Raw genomic sequence first — 18,191 nt, forward strand, 5'->3', positions numbered from 1 at the left:
CAGCACCAAAGAATGTGACTACATTGGGAGATAGCTTCATCAAAGAGGTAATTACATTAAAATGAGGTCTTTGGGGGTGGAGTTGGGGTGGTGGGGATATGGTCACATTATACAAAATTTCAGTTAGACAAGAGGAATAAATACAACAGGTTTATTGCATTTGGTGACTACATTTAATGTACTCTGTTCTTGAACATTGATAAGACAGTAGATTTTGAGTGTTCTCACAGCAAAAAAATGATAGGTATGTGAGGTAATGCATATGCCAATTAGCTTGGGTTAACCATTCCACAGTGTGTGCATGTTTCAAAACGGTACCATAAATGTAGACAATTTTTATCAGTTACAATAAAAAAGTTTTAAAATGAAGGCCTTAGGGTGGGCCCAAATCCAATGTAACTGATGTCTCCATGAAAGAGGATATAAGGATACAAATGTGTACATACAGAGAAATGGCCACATGAAAACAGAAAGAGAAGGTGGCCACTTACAAGCCCAGGAGAGATGTCTCGGGGAAACCCTCCCTGCTCATGTTTTGACCTTTGACATCATTCTCCAGATAAAGTCCTTCATCCTCCTTCATCAGATGGTAGCTTCTGATCCTGAATACTCTCCAAATGCTGGAAGGTATGAATGTGAGAGGACAGCACAGACCTCAGGGTGAAAAGTTTAAAGAGAATAACATCTTCCCATTGCCCCGTCCTCTCCCCAACACACACCTGTGCCAGCCTTTATTGGTCTTTTGTATTCCCTTGTCCTGGGGATAGTGTAACTTGCTAATCTGTGTTTATGTAGAGGATAACATAAAACAAAGGTAAACAATAAAATAAAACAAAGAGCAAAACTCAACAAATACTGTTTGGGCAGGGTGACAGTAAAAGCAGGCAGATCACATAAAATGGGGGTGGAGCTCTTGGAGCTCAATCAATGTCCTGTTGTGTTTCTACATCAGAATCTGTAGTAGCAATTTTCAGGTTTGATGCTTTTGTCCTTGCCTGCCCCGTAAGTGCCAGAGGGGATTATTCTAAATTGGGTGAGGAACAGGTAGAAATGTGTAAGTGAGACAATTTTCCCTGCCATTTGCCACAGTAGCAGGGCAGAATTTATCATGAGTGCCTTTACTCTCTGATGTCCAAAAAGTTCAACTCTGTTGGTGAGGTTCTGTTGGCTGCCAATTTAGAAGCATCTGCCTTCATGCTCCTGTCTAGAATGATAACATCTCTCTGCCAGTAGCTGATAAAATCCCCAACATCCCCTAGTCATGTTTTCCAGTTAAAATTCACTGGAATTATGTGGGCAGATTTACATAGCTCAGTTCTTCCAGCAGCCAAGGAATCCTTGATATTTTTTTCACTTGAAGCCTCTGAGAGAGGGAGTCAGCCTCCCCTTAGAGGTGGCCCTTAGAGTTTTTGATACATAATCTCCCTGACTCTACTACTTACACTGATTTGAAAGTCAGTGACAAGCTTGCTCCAAAGCTCCTGTCAAATTGAATCCTGACACATGAAGGGCTTGGTGCTTCCCAGCTTGATATTCCAATTTTGAAGTGAGTAAATTTGAGTTCTATGAGACATCAGAAGGTCACTTAGAATATAACATATTCTAAAAGAAAATTGGAATGCCACAGGAACATTAGCTGTAAAAGAAAAATTATGTTCTTTGGTGAAAATTTTATGCCCCTTGATATGGTTTGGCTGTGTCCCCACCCAAATCTCATCTGGAATTTTAGCTCCCATAATTCCCAAGTGTTGTAGGAGGGACCTGGTAGGAGACAATTGAATCATGCAGGCAATTTTTTCCATACTGTCCTTGTGGTAATGAATAAGTCTCAAGAGATCTGATGGTTTTATAAGGAGAAACCCCTTTCACTTTACTTTCATTCTCTCTTCTCTTGTCTGCTGCCATGTGAGACATGCCTTTCACCTTTTGCCACTATTGTGAGGCCTCCCTAGCCGTGTGGAACTGTGAGTCCATTCAACCTCTTTCTTTTGTAAATTGCCTAGTCCTAGGTATGTCTTTTTCAGCAGGGTGAAAACAAACTAATACACCACCCTCCACTGTTTGAAGCAAAACTGCTGGCTCTATGGGGTCTTCAATTCACTAAATATTTCCTAAATGCCTGGTTTATTTCACTGACAAGTCAAGGAAGTTGCCACCTTTTGGTGCTCACTGGGCTGCTGTGGATGTCTAACCTCATTGCCAGCCACACAGAACCTGAAGCAGGGATCGTTGCACCACTTAATGGTAAGAACTCAGGGTTTTGGGGTTATTGCCAATGTTCTAACTGTTTGGTCTTTCACATTGAAACTAAAGGCTATTTACATCTTTAGCATAATAGTCAGCTGACTCTTGCCACACCTTGTGTCCCTTGAAGCTCATTCCTGTAACTTTTTAGGCTTTTGAGACCACTTCTATTTTAATCACATTGTAGTTTTTATCACTAATTTTATTAACATGGCCAAATTGTTAGATTGTACTTTCTTTTTTTATCTGGGTCCACAAATGTTGGCTAGGTAATTTGTTGATTGAATATGACTTTCCCCTCAGAACCCAAAAATCTCTTCTTGACTGACTCCAAGATGAAGAGAACATCATTGAGGTCTATAGGCAACCGTTTTCAAACTTTGAGATTTCTCACTGACCATTCATGGAAAGGATATGTCTTTCTTTTCCTTAACTGCAACCCCAGACAAATTTGGTTTGCACATTCTCTGAATGGCAGTCTAGCCCAAAGAGGGGTTGTGTTACTCAACTCAGTTATGTTGAACTTTTATATAGAAGTTCTTGTGTACATATCATCTGGCTCCACTAGAAAAAAAATGACTAGAAGACAGTATGGGTGACTAGTCTAGAAAAATGACTACTGAAATTTATAGGTACTGGAATAGCACACAAATTTTGTGGATGTAGAGGGAGAACAAATACCCAAAACCTAAAAATGAACAAATTAGACCCCAAAAACTACAGAAATGCAGGGACATTGATAACATTTTATCTTTCTGAACTATCCCTAGTGAGACGCAGAGAAGAGTTGGGGAATCCTGTTGGACCAGGAGGAGGAATAATATTAGTTGGACCAAATGGTAGAACAGGACCTGTGTGCTCAACCTTTCTTGGGAATTCCATTCCTCTTTGAGGCAGGCATGGAATCCCAGTGAACATCCTGCACTCTCAGTGTCCAGCTGTCTGAGGCAACAGTTGTTTCTGATGATAGAGAACAATTGCTTTTTTTTCTGAGAAGACTTCCATGGCTGAGGTAAGCTGGATTCTATAGAACATTGATTCCATTTTCTCCTTCCTCTGTGAACTGCGGTTGCTTCTTTGATTTTTCATCTAGAGATAAAATTACATTTGCCAATATTTGTGTAAAATGGAGATATAAGTCTGGCAAGTAGATCCTTAGATGCAGCCCTCAGCAGAAATTTTTGCCTGTTTCTATTCTCAGTTTTATTAAATTATTGGCACAGAAAGTTGCCCTGACATGTTGTCCCTCAGGGGTAATTAGAATATTGTACTTCTAGAGAAGCTGATGGGACAGGCCAGGGCTTAGAGTGAGGATCGAAGCTTCTGTCCAAATCTCCCAGTCTATCTGTGTGTGGTAGGTGGACTCAGGAAAGACCCTAAAACTCTGGAAACGATCATTAAGAGAAAACAAAATCCCCATAAATTAGAGTACTAGGGCACATGTTCATTAGTCGCCTTCAGAGTCAGATGCTCAGGGCTGAGCTTGTGTGGGAGGGTGCATAGCAGTGCATGCCTGTGAAAGCCTCTGGTCTTGTGTGAGTGATGAGGCTCTGGATCAATGAGAAGTCCTGTATCTGACAGAACATGGTGTTTCTGTGAGTGTGAGATTCAGCGCCCTTCCTCAGCAGAGCACCACTGAGTGAATAATTGTTTTAGAATCAAGAATATGGAGGCCAATTTTATTTTGAATTTCTCAAAGACAGATTTTTTCCACATTGAAATTGAGTAAGAGTGTCAGAAACTTCAGCAAAAATGTCACAGGAGGAAACTCTGGGGTCTTATGAACCCCAGAAACCACAAAAGTCCTGATATAACCTGTGAGAATTTCCCTTGTAAAAACTTGATTTTTTCACAGTACAGATTTATCTGTCATTTGACATTTATTTTATTTCAGGTTATAATTAGTACTTTTTTTTTTACCTTTATGAGAGAAACATCAGATTCCTAAACCCAAAGCCTTAATGATGCCTACCCAACTGTAGTTTTTATTTCCAACTGACTTTCTGCTATGGTCTGAATTTATGTCTCCTTCTAAAATCTCATTTGAAAAATTTAATCCCTAAAGTGATAGTTTTAAAACATGGAACCTTTAGGGAAGTGACTAACTCAGGAGGGATTCATCCTCATAAATGTAATTAATACCCTGTAACAGAGGTTGAAGGGAGCACCCTTGTCCCTTCTGTCATGGAGGATACAGCAAGAAGGCACCACGTGTGAGAAACAGGACCCTCACCAGACACTGAATTTGCTGGTGCTTTTATCTTGAGTTTTCCAGCCTCCAGAACTGTGGCCAATACATTTCTGTTATTTATACATGACCCAGTCTAATGTATTTTGTTTCAGCAGCCTGAACAAAGACACTTTCTCATGCATTGTGGTTTACTTTGAATTTATGCTTCCACTGAGCTATCCATATATTCATAAATAAACATGTCTCATAGGGTTGGATAACCACTCTGGTTATGTTTTCAGAGTTTTCTCAGCTGTTCTTATTTATGTTTTCATCTATAGGAACTTTGCAATAAAATGCCTGCTTCCAATACCAGATGGCATCACTATTAGGACAAAATTAAATTTATGAATTACTTCTAATAAAATAATGATTGAGCAATATTGCATTTTTCTACCTTAGAACATGATGTGATTTTCCATTCTTTTATGCTGATTTTCCTATATTTCAAGGACTTTTTATCATACTTCTCATATGCTTTACAAATTTTTGTTAGATTTATGTATGGCTAGTTTATTTTATTTTGTCCTGTTAAAAAGTAAACTGTAGCACAACAGAAATTTTATAAGTTTTCTTGGTTGGGAATGGTGGCTCATATCTGTGATTCCAGCACTTTGAGAGGCCAAGGTGAGAGGATTACTTGAGGCCAGGAGTTTGAGGCCATCCTGGAAAACATAGTAAGACCCTGTCTCTACAAAATATAAGAAGAAATTAGCCAGGTGTGGTGGTGCATACCTGTATTTGCAGCTACTCATGGGGCTAAGGTGGGAGGATGGCTTGAACTCAGGATGTAAAACTGCAGAGAGCTTCAATTCTCCATGCCCTCCAGCATGGGCAACAGAGCAGGAACCTGTTTCAAAAAACATTTTCTTGAGTAAAAAGCAACTAATGAATTGTGGAACATGAGACCACAAGAGGTTTAGCATTTAAATGGCAAAGTGTCAGAGGTAAGAGGGTATTGAAATAATGCAGGAACAAAATATTAAAATTATTTGATTGGTTGCAGTTATAAAATTGTCTTTTTTGGTTTACCTTATAGACCTATATTACTATACACGTCTTGGGTACTTCTGATAACTAAAGCTTAAGTTCTGTTGTTGTTGTTTTTTAATACAAGCATTCACAAAAAATACCTCACATTATGTTTTGCTTGTTTGCAAATCAACAAGATGAGGTCACTGAGGAGGTCTGATTCTGTCTCCTCAGGAATGTTTTGGGCTTTGTCCCCCTTTTAATTTACTTTATAAATCACGTTGTAATTTTTATCTCCCACCCATACTATAACTTGTTAATTACTTTTATACCTATGTAAATATCATTTATGTATGATTTCTGAGTATATCACTAGTGAATAGTTTGTTACATAGGCATACCATGTCTTATTGCACTTTATTGTGCTTCATAGATATTGAATTTCTTACAAATTGAAGGTTTTTTGCAACCCTACATTGAGCGACTCTATTAACACTATTTTTCCAACATCATGTGACCTTTGTGTGTGTGTATATCTGTGTCAGCATTTTTAACAATAAAGTACATTTTTTATCAAGGTATATACATTGTTATTATAAACATAGGCTGTTTCAGTCTTATTCTACAGTATAGTGTAAACATCACTCTTATATGCAATGGGAAACAAGAAAAGCTGTGTGACTCACATTATTGTGATATTTGTTTAATCGCCCTGCTCTAGAGCAAAAGCCAGATATCTCCAAGATATATCTGTATATTTTCATTGAATCGGCTTTATTTACTGTAATGATAAATCACTATTCTTTGACTGAAAACAAGAGCTGCGGAGTGTGGAGAGGTTGGGGTAAAAATATAGAAGAAGTGAAGATAAAAAGTCCTCTAAGTCACACATGGAGTAATACAAATTCAGTATGGATTAAATATAAAATTATTTAAAATTGAAGAGTCTCAGAAACATTAATGTTTATATCATTATATATATAAATTATGAGGCAAAGAGTAAAACAAAAATACATTTAGATGAAAGATTTCATAATCTCACTGTAAAATGCAAGAAGAAAAACTATAAAATATAGCAATATGTAAAATAAATGATAATATATATTACATTTAATATTCTACAATACAGTATGACCAACAGAAATGTATAAAATAGAAGGAAGTCTAAATTTAGAAAATTTAAAATGAGGCAAATATGAGTCAGGTGAAGAATAAATAAATATGATGAATTACATTTAACATATCTTGACTTCACTTTTATGTAAAAATACATATTAATAGTAAACACTTGTGTAGTGATTTCACCATAATTTTATTGCACTGTAGAAACATATTGACATTTTTCCGTAGGGAGTACTATTAAAGGTTTGTGGATATTAGTCCTCCATGGGTTCAGCGTGGGGGGAAGGAGAGGCTACAACCTCTTCTAAATTAAAAGAGAAGCATATAATTTTATATTTATTTTGCTACAATTTAAAATACACAAAGGCATATGAATGATTACCTTCTAACATTTGTTTGATTATATAGAAATGCATGACAGTTATCAGACATCTAAAATACATCAAATATCTAACAAGACATATAAAATTTGTTTAGAATCTTAGCCCTCTACAAAATGCAGGGTTCACCATTTTGAGTATATTGTTCAAGTTTCCTTCCTATGACTGCTTCAGGTTCTGTTATTTATTAACACAGTACATCTAAAATTGTCACTGCTGGTCATCTGGAAGAACCTGAGAAGTAGCAGGTTCTTGGTGTCATTCCAAGAGCTGCATTCGCTGCTAAATATGGTGAGAGTGCAGCCAGCTCAAGCCTCATCTGATCTACTAACAGGCTCAGTTAACTCCTGCTCATGCAAGAGGTGGGGTTCTTTCTACAGGGCTGGATCCACAGGGCCAGCCAGTGTGGCTGAAACAAGCTAGTTCTTAGCAGGGAAGACATAACCTGCCTGGGTGGCCATAATATGGAATGCCTGCAACTGGGCACACAGAGGTCCCCAGAGCTGGCCAAGCTGAGTGACCTACTCCCAGGTCAGTGGAGAATGAGCCTGCTTCACCAACACCTGGGATAGGTCTAGACAAATGGCCTTTGACACATCTTGCAAGGTCACCAAGCTTTCCGTAGTGATGACTATTGAACTCCTGGGTCCCGAGACCTATGTCACTTGCCACACCCAGTGTGAGCCATGAAAGGCCCTCTGTTGTGGGCGTCACAGGTCTCCTGGATTTCACTGCTGTGCACAGCAGTGGAGGACTTTAGTTTCTTTTTTTCAACATCGAGCTACGCTCCTCTCCTCGACATGCCCCTGCAGAGGAAGAATGTGAGTGACAGACTCACCAGAACAGTGCCCACAGACCCTCATTTCCACAACCTCCCGTGCACTTTCAGGTGAACCTCATTTGTCTCTTCTTCTCCATCCTCACCATCTCAGCACTTTATTGAAGTGAAGCTTAACCCCATTTTAGTCCCCACATATCCTCTGAGTGCCAGGATCTCAAAAACTTTCCAAGTCACTAAGAAGCCCCCCTGCTGTTCAAACTGTGTATAAAATTTTCCTATTTGTTTGCCCTTTGGGGCAAAAAAAAAAAAAAAAAAAAAAAAAAAGGTAAGATTCTACCTGCTCTGTCTTGGCAGCTGTCCTTGGAACTGATTTTCCTGTTCTTGGAGTTTCCCCCATGTGAGCTCGATTCTGTCTCTGTTGATTAAATGAGTGTTTGAGTTAAGTGCCTCCAACCAAACACCCTAGAAACTTTAGTACATCCTGGACACACTGGAGCTGAAGTTGCCACCAAAACCCAGCCCACTTCTGTTCTCCAGCATCCAGGATCTGCAAGGCCCTAGCTGCCAAAGAGCTCCCAGTTTTCTTCCCAGGGAAGACTGTGTTGCTACTCTGTCTCTTTTTACCTTGAAAGAGTCAAATCTTACCCTATCTAACAGTACTGTTTCTTTGAGCTTGATTTCCTCAGAATTCCTCTCATTTAGATTGGGCTCTGATCATAGTGCAACATGGAGTTTAAGTGACTCACTTCTCCCAGGCACACAGTCCCATAGTCTCATCACTGACAAACATTTGTGGATCAGTCTTTCAAATGAAGCTCTTCTGCCAGTGTCATGAGTGAACACATTTCTCAATCTCTCCTCAAGGTTCTAAGCCATTTCCCATCCCCAATCTCAAAATAAAATCCTATGAAAGACACATAGCTCAGTATACCTGATTCCAACACTCCTTCCAGCCTCCATGGTAACAGCCCAAGGCTTTATCTTGCCTTTGCATGTGATTCTCACTGGAATGGAAGGAAGGGGTCTTGCCTTTTTCTTTGAATGGCTTCTTCTCATCTGAGCCCTTTTCTGTAAAGGAGATCTGTTGGAAAGGAGGCTGGTCAGTGGGGCATTGAAAGGAAGAGCAGTGGGGTCTTCATTTTCTTTTCCCATGTTCAAGCTCAAGTGAAAGGTGCCCTTATATGTCCAGATTCAGAGTGTGATTCTGGTGGACCTGCCTTTTGTAAGTCCCTTGGCTGGGAGTGGCTTACTCTTACTGGTGGAACAGTTTTCTTTTTTCTGCCACTCATTAGGGCCTCAATAAGAAAAGTTTCTGGCTGTCGTTTTACTAGGGACCTAAACACAGTTAAGGGGAGACATTTACTGAGTCTTGACATAGTGTCAAAAATAAAAAGAAGAATAAATAAAGCTGGGGGCACAGGAATCATAAGATAGGGGAATCATTTTTTTCTAATTTCTCTCCCAATTCCTACATGAAAGTATTTATGATACTGCTTATCTTTCAAGATTCAGAATTAAACATACCTATATTGAAATGTGTCTACATTTTGCAAAGAAAGATAATTATATATAGTGTTAAAGTCATATACATAAATACTATAATTTCTCAAATGCTTGGAAATGTCAAATTAAAGTTATGGTCAGTTGTATTAGATACATACATATATGATAAAATAAAAATGTGGAGAAAAAGTAAAAACCAAATAAAATGGCCCTTTCTACCTTAAAAATGGAGACAATAATTAGATCAAACACAACTGAATTGGATTAGATTAGAGCTGGTGGTGACTTAATCAGCCCGTGATTCCTGAAGTAGCAAAAACTCTAGGTAGAGAGATAAACTTCCCCCATTTCTCATGCTCCGTCAGTCATCCTGGGAGTTCTACCTTGTTCTGTAGAATTTATTCAGCTCCCTAGTAAAAAAGGACTTGGTCCTACACAGGTAACCCAACTGACCACAAGAAAAACAGCGTGGATCCTTAGCATTCAGCTTCTGTCTTTACACAACAGACACCGCCTGAATCCCATGAAAGCCTGTGTTGTTTCCCAACATCCACCATCGAGATATATTCCAGAGCAGCCTCTCAAACTTGCCTAAACGAGATGAGACAAGGTATGGTGGAGCTCCACGTTTGGGACAGCTGCCTTATCCATTCCTACTGAGAAGTCTGTATCTGCTGGTTAGAGCCCTCGAACTGTAGAAGGCTTAGTGTATTTCCCAGCTAGTGTCCCCGAAAAACACCTTCTTGTTTCCCCGACTTCTGAGAAAAGCATGCAGGAATGAGACCTTTTGTGTTAGGGAGTACTCGGTCTCCACTGTCAAATGACTTGGTTGACTGATGAAGTGATGCCCTGAGGAAGAGAAAGATTCAGGGAAGAGCCTGTGCTGGGTGAGTCTGTGTTTTCCCAGGTGTGCTGGCTGTGCAAATAGTGGAACCCCCAAAAATATAGGGTGGTAGACAGACACTTTCTAATAAAATTGTCTGAATGTAAATAGGATTTAAATGTAACTTATAATATCATTATATATTGATAACATAATGTCACATAAAATTTATTTGACATATAAACAAATTTTGACATGTTTGTAAGAATTAAAGAGGAAAGAGACACGGAAGTTGGCTTGCCAGTCAAGATAGGTTTATTTTAGAGAAAACAAACTTGAGAGTGGCATCTGGCAGAGTTAGGTCAGAGGCACACTTTTCTACAGACAAAGAGTTTTTAAGGATTCAAAATGGGAGAGTTTATCAGAGCCTTGGACTGCTTCCATGTTTCTTTATTGTGCATATGTGGGAGAAAGAGTTGTGTGTCTTTTCCCACGCATCTTTTTGCAGCTGCAGACATACCTCCCAAGTCTGCTTTTAGCTTCCCTATCTTAGTGCACCTGAAGGGACAGAAATGTGCTTATTAAGGCCCACTGTTTTCCTGGGGCCCATTGTATGAGGCTGAAGTTTGGCAGTTACCCAAAAGACTTTTCCCCCACCTCTCTCTGTGCCTAAGCTGTCTTATCTGTGTTTTACTGTCCGCTCTTTCTGGCTGCTTGTAGTTAGAAAAGAAGTGATTTTTTTGAAATGTATGAGGCTAGAAAGGGAGCTAGAACTTAAAGTGGCAGTGTTTGTCAGAGGTGACGGTGCTCCTGCTCTGTCAATGTTATAATATCATAAAGCAGTCGTTTATACAAAAGCAGGAAATATTCTTAGGTTTTATTAAGTTTATAGATCAATGTTGTTACAAAATTTAACTCAATTTTCTTGTAAAATTACCTAACAAAATTTTATGTTATTATGATATAATTACATGAATTATAATATATTGTGATGTTATAATAGTATATGAATTATGATATCATAATATATTGTGATATCATAATGCACATTATGATATCATACCATTGTGATATAATAAACATGAGTTATGATGTCATAATATATTATGCTGTCAAAATACATGTCAATTATGATGTCACACTACATGGTGATGTCATACTACATGGTGATGTCATAATACATGTGAATTATATCATAATAAATTGTGATGTCATAATGCAAATGATGTAATATATTGTAATGTCGTAATATATTTATTTATCATATTTATGAAACACAAAACATTTTGTCAGGTAATTTATAAGGAAGTTGAGTTAAATTTGTAGCAACATTAACATCTAAAGAAGCTTACAATAATAGTGAAATATTAAAGAGAAGCAGGCATCTCCCATGGTACAAGCAGGAACAAGAAAAATGGGGGAGGGATATGCCTCACATGTAAACCACCAGATCTCGTGAGTACTCGCCATGACAAGAACAGCACAGAACCATGAGGAATCCATCCCCATGATTCAACCACCTCCCACCAGGCCCCACCTGTAACATTAGGGATTACAATTTAATATGAGATTTGGTGGGGACTTTTAAACTCTATCACACGACTATTAGAAAAACAGATGAAACATTCATGGTTGCTACTGTTCAGATACTTTCATTCCCAAGCAAATGGTTAAATGATTTAGTTCAACATTCTATGGTCAGAAGAGAGAAGGGCGGTGTACAGGGGACTTTGACTGCATTTATTCCACTTCCCTTATGCTGTTGTTGTGAGTTCTGATGTCACCACCTGAAGAGCTATTCATGACAGAAGAATTATTGCTATTGTTGTGATTATTCCTATTTCTTTTATCTCAGTAAAAATAATTTTTTTAGCTTCTCATATAATTTTCTTAAAAAACTCTAAGAGTTTTGATTAAATTCCTTGTTATTGTGTGTTATAAAAATTGACAGGGAAATGGCTAAAATAGATTAAAAGTACACAAACTCTAAGAGTCAAGTTTCTATTGGGCAGGCTTAAGAAAGACAGAACTGGAAATACTCCACCAGCATAGACATCAGCCACTTTCTGTCTCAGCCCTGCCCAGATCCACCCTCTTCTAAGGCCTCACCCTGGTCTGGCCTCACCCTAGAATCTCCTCTCACAGAACTAATTAAAAGAGACCATAAATATGAGAGGTGGTTCCTGCTGTCTCTCCTGAGCTGGTGCCCACAATTACCTGAAAATAAAAACAGATAAATGGGAGCAAATAATTATCTATCTGTGGGCCACAATTGCTTTTTCACTGAAGCCAGTGCATCTAGAGACATCTCACCTAGCAACCTGTTTTTTATTTCTGCAGATCCAGTAGTTGCTCTACAAAGCACAAGAAAGTCAATATAAATACCAAAAAAACCCTCTGAACAGTTCACTGTTTATTTCTGTATTCCTGTCATCTGTCTACACAGCTTTTATTCTACACATTTTCTTTATAGGTAAATAAGTTTTAAAATATAAGAAAAAATAGAAATGTCGGGCTCTTCACTTAAGTCCTGAGAATTACAGACACCTAACACCTAACTCCCAGTGAGCAACGGGGACTAAATCACATCATGTGATGTTTCCAGCACAGTGCTGTGTAACAGACTTCTGGACACATAGTACATGCTCAATAAACATTGTATTAACTCATGTGTACATGTTTTTCAAATGCAGACTTACTTTAACATTGAAGCCTTCTCTAGCCTCTGTAAACTTCAAAGAGCCAGCTGACATTAACATGTTTCTGAATGGTATTGGTGGTTTCCACTTGGGCCAAAAATATTTATGTTGTGGTAAGAGCGTTGGGTGTCAGAAACTCTGTGCTGTGCCTGCTTTCTCTAGCTGAGTGATACTACAATGGATGTACTGGGAGAAATATCAGCATTAAGAGAAAACTTTTTAAAGAAGCCAATTCATGGACCCCCTTCCCAACTTGCAGAATTACATTACTAACAGAGAGGCCTGAAATCATAAATGATTTATATGTACCTTGAAACTTGAGAGGCAATGTTTAGCTAAGTGTTTCTCAGCCTAGGCTTCCAACCATAATCACATGACCATGTTAGAGAAATACCATCATCTGTGCCCTTGCACAAATTCTGTCTGTTGATCTTGGTGGGAGCATCCATATGGTTTAAATTAGGAAGTCAAATTGTTTGTCTTTGATGATTACATAATATTATACCTAAAAAAATCTAAAGACCACCAAAAAAACTTTTAGATTTGATAAATGAATTTAATAATGTTTCAGGATACAAAACTCAATGTTCAAAAATTAGCATTTTTATATACTAATAACAATCAACCTGAGAGCTGAATTAAAATGTCAATTCCTTTTACAATAGCTACAAAAAAGGTATTATACCTAGAAATATAATTAATCAAACCGGTGAAACATATCTACGAGGAAAACTACAAACCACTGAGGAAATAAATTGTACATGACACAAACAAATGAGAAAAACATCCTATGCTCATGGATTGAAAGAATTATTATCATTCAAATCACCATACTACACCAAACAATCTACATATTAAATGCAATTCCTACCAAAATGCCAATGTTATTTTTCATAGAATTAGAAATTTTTAAAAAATTCATACGGAACCATAGAAAAGCCTGAATAGCCAAAGCAAATTTAAACAAAAAGAACAAAGTTGGAGATATTACTATTACATTACCTGATTAAAAAATTGTACTACAAAGCTTTAATAACCAAAACAGTATGGTACTGATACAAATAGATGCATAGATCAATGGAACAGAATAGAGAACCTAGAAATAAAGCCACATACCGACAGACAACTGATCTTTTACAAAGTGAAAACAAACACACACTGGGGAAATGACATTGTATTCAACATATTATGCTGGAAAATTATATTGCCATATGCAGAAGTATGAAATGGTACCCCTAACTCTCACCATACACAAAAATTAACTCAATATAGATGAAAATACTAAAATGTAAGATGTGAAATGATGAAAGCTCTAGAAGAAACCCTATGATAAACTATTTTGGTTATTTGTCTGGGCAAGGAATTCTTAACTAAGACCATCTCAAAAGTAGATACAACAATACCAAAAATAGACAAATGGAACTTAATTAAACTGAAAAGCTCCTGAAAAAAAGCTTTTAATTGACAGGTGAGCAGACAACCTATGGAATAAGAAAAATGTTTGTGAACTATGCATGTGAAGAAGACCTTATGTCCAGAATATACAAGGAAATCAAACATCAACAGGAATAAAATAAGTAACCTCATTGAAAAGCAGGCACATAACGGGAACAGATATTTTTCAAAAAGAAGACAATGATGGCCAACAAGCATGTAAAAAATGCTCAACATTGCCAATGGTCAGAGAAATGTCAATTAAAATCCACAATGAAATACCATTTTACACCATTCCTAATGGCTAATTATTAAAAAGCAGAAAAATGACAGATACTGGCAAGCATACAGGGAAAAGAGAATACTCATACATTGTGGAAATGTAAAATTCTACAATCTCTATGAAAAACAGTATAGAAATTTCTCAAAAAACTAAAAATAGAACTTCCATTTGATCCAGCACTCCCACTACTGGGTATCTACCCAAATGAAAATAATTCATTACATAAAGAAGATACTCACACTTATAAGTTTATTGCAGCACTATTCACAATGGCAGATATAGAGTCAATTTAAATTTAGCAATTAATGATTGAAAAAAGAAAATTTGCTACACATTTATACCACGAACTATTGTTCAGCAATAAAGAAGAATAAAATAATGTCTTCTGCAACAACATGAATGAAACTGGAGTCCATTATTGTAAGTAAAATAACTCAGAAATAGAAAATAAAATATTACATTTTCTCACTTGTAAGTGGGAGCTCAATAACGCACACACTTGGATATAGACTGGAAAAATAGACACTGGAGGCTCAGAAAGATGGGAGGTTGGTAGAGGGGTTAGAAATGAGAAAATATCTAATTGGGACAATAAGCACCATTCAGATGATGGTTACACCAAAAGTTCATACTTAAATCACTATGTGACATGTCCCTGTAATGAAAGTGCATTTGTATCCTCTAGCGTATTAATAAAGAGGACAAAAACTGACCTTTATCAAGAGTGTAGACTGAATAGACCTCATAATTTTCATAAATATTTAGATTAGGCAGAAAAATAACTTTAATAAAAATAAACATAAAATAATATTGTATTTTAAGAATGGTATAAAAAGATAATGTGATGAATTAGAATAGCTAGTACTTAGCACAGACAATGTGCAAGGCAAGATTCTAAGCCATTAGACATTTGTAGACAGAGTATCCCACATCGTAAAATAACACAAAGATTCATTGGCAATCACAAATTGACATATTTTCAAGCATATTACGTGCTATTAAAACCATTATCAAATTTAACATTTTGTTTCATACTAAAGGATCATAACGTTAAATAACTTCATTAAAAAGTTTGACTAATTAGGCATATAGATAAATGGGCATTGTGTTGACCACTAAACGGAGCATACACATTATTTTCAAAGACCAAACAAAATTTTCTTAATCAATTTTTATTTATTTATTTTGGTTGGGGGAGCAGCTTTATTAGCTGGGGGTATAGTGGGGTTCTCTCCCTGGGAGGTGGGGTCTTCCACTGGTCACCTCCGGCAGTGGTCCAGGAGACCCCCTGCAATTCAGCGCTGGGCTCAGCTGGGGGCCAGGCCTTTGAGAAGGTGAACTGTGCAGGGAAGCAGTAGCTGTGGGGTCCTCACCGTCCGCTCGGCCTTGCTTCACGGGGTCGTTGGTGCTCCTCAGGGTCCCGCAGAGCCTGCGTCTCTATAGAGCAGTGACCATCCAGGCCGCAACCTTATCCTCAGAGCCCAGTTTGACGCAGGCCAGGCATTTCCGCTTACTCCCCTTGGGTTGGACTTTGCACTCGGGTTTCTTCCAGTTCTTCTTCCGGCACCTTGTTTTCAAGAGTTTAAATTCCAGCCTTACAAATGTTCCAGCTGGGAAGGGCGTCTCCAAGGCGCGATCCACACTGGTCTCCTGGAAGGCCCACTGTAAGTGTGAGTGGATTCCTCCAGGGCCACCTGCAGGCCCCAGCGCTGGGCCACAAGCGCTCGGCCCCGTCCCCGCCCCCGCCCCGTCCACCCACGGGGCCAGCGGGATCCACAGCCATCTCTTGTTTCTGCTGTCACCCTGGCCCTGCGAAACGACTGTGCTCCCCTCAGCTCTCCGAGCCGGCTGGGAACTGCCTCCCTGGGGGGCCATGTCCGCAGAATGCTGGGCCGAGGTGAAGGAACCAGGAAATGTCTCTCTCCACGTTGAACTTGGGGTCCACCTGGTCCTCTCCACTCCCTCCCACCCTGCCTGCACTGTTCCCTGGGGCCTGCAGTTTTAGCAAATTTCCCTGCCATCTGCCCGGGTCGGGAAGCAGTCCTGTTGCCCGCTCCCACCCTTCACCCCTTTTCTGGCCCGTTCTCTCTTCCCACTGGGTCTCCAACACGACCCCCTCTCCTCCATACTGACCCCGGAGACCCTCTCTGGTTCCCCCGCACAACTTCTCCTTCCCCATCCTGAATTTTCTGGCTCCCATGGGGTACCCCCCATTTCCAGGCACTGACAAAATTATTTTATATGGGAACATTTGAATTTCACTGAATTTATAACAGCAGAAACCCGTCTGGTCATATTTTAAAGAATCGTGAAATGATAATAGCAACTATCAATTTGAAGTGTAACTAGGGTTAAGAATACCTGCCATTTTACTGACAGCAACAACAACAACACTACCCTGTTAAAGCTAAGAAAGTAATTCAGTAAAGTCGCAGGATGTGATATTAACATGAAAATCAGTTGCAGTTTTTTTACAGTAACAAAAAAATCTGAAAAAGGAATAAAGAAAACAATTCCATTTACAATATTATCAAATGGAATGAAATAATTCATTAAATAGAACAAGTTTAACCAAGAATATCAAAGATATGCCTACTGAAAGCTATGAAATGTTGAGGAAAGAAATTAAAGAATACAAAATGTGAAATATACCCTGTTTTAATGGATTCCAAAAATTAATATTGTTAAAATATAGTACAAAAAGTAATCTACGGAGCTAAATAAATTTCCTTCAAAATTTTAATGCCATTAAAAAATGTAGAACAAACATTTGTAAAATTAGTAAGGAGCCACCAAAGACCCCTAATAGACAAATACTTAGAACAAAAAGGCTGAAAGCCTGAAACCTCCTGATTTCAAACTATATTTCAAAAGTGTAGTCATCAAAATAGTATATTGACTACATAAAAACCAATGGAACAGAATAGAGGACCCAGAAATAAACACACATATATACTCAACTGATCCCACAGAATTAGGAAAAGATAGACACATCAAAAAATGGTGTAGAAAAAAACTAAATATGCACACAGAAATAGTGAACATTTCTCTTATATCCTCCCAAAAGTGAGTTTAAAATAAAGACTTAAACATTATTATTTTTTTAAATTTTACTTTAAGTTCTGGGGTACATGTGCTGAACGTGCAGATTTGTTATATAAGTATACATGTGCCGTGGTGGTTTGCTGCACCTATCAACCCATCATCTAGGTTTTAAGCCCTGCATGCATTAGGTATTTGCCCTAATGCTCTCCCTTCCCTTGCCCCCCACCCCCCCGACAGGCCCTGGTTTGTGATGGTCCCCTCCCTGTGTCCATGTGTTCTCATTGTTCGACTCCCACTTGTGAGTGAGAACATGCAATGTTTGGTTTTCTGTTCCTGTGTTAATTTGCTGAGGATGATGGTTTCCAGCTTCATCCATGTCCCTGTAAAGGACACGAACTCATTCTTTTTTATAGCTGCATAGTATTCCATGGTGTCTGTGTGCCACATTTTCTTTATCCATTCTATCATTGATGGACATTTGGATTTGGGTTGATTCCAAGTCTTTGCTATTGTAAATATTGCTGCAATAAACATACATGTGTATGTCTCTTTATAGTAGAATGATTTATAATCCTTCGCGTACATACCCAGTAATGGTATTGCTGGGTCAAATGGTATTTCTGGTTCTAGATTCTTGAGGAATCGCCACACTGTCTTCTGCAATGGTTGAACTAA

The 18,191-nt window shown here is 38.3% G+C and overlaps 1 long non-coding RNA gene and 2 pseudogenes across 1 annotated transcript; 1 reads left to right on the top strand and 2 right to left on the bottom strand.

Moving 5' to 3' along the window:
* LOC105371201 (uncharacterized) lies at window positions 1-3,288 on the top strand. The gene is made up of 3 exons (XR_942160.1): window positions 1-47; window positions 2,025-2,244; window positions 3,015-3,288. It is a non-coding gene; the product is annotated as an uncharacterized LOC105371201 (long non-coding RNA).
* On the bottom strand, window positions 7,255-8,857 carry FRG2IP (FSHD region gene 2 family member I, pseudogene; annotated as a pseudogene).
* On the bottom strand, window positions 15,662-16,322 carry RARRES2P7 (retinoic acid receptor responder 2 pseudogene 7; annotated as a pseudogene).

The sequence above is a fragment of the Homo sapiens genome, chromosome 16, assembly GCF_000001405.40.
Source record: "Homo sapiens chromosome 16, GRCh38.p14 Primary Assembly".
NCBI lineage: Eukaryota > Metazoa > Chordata > Mammalia > Primates > Hominidae > Homo > Homo sapiens.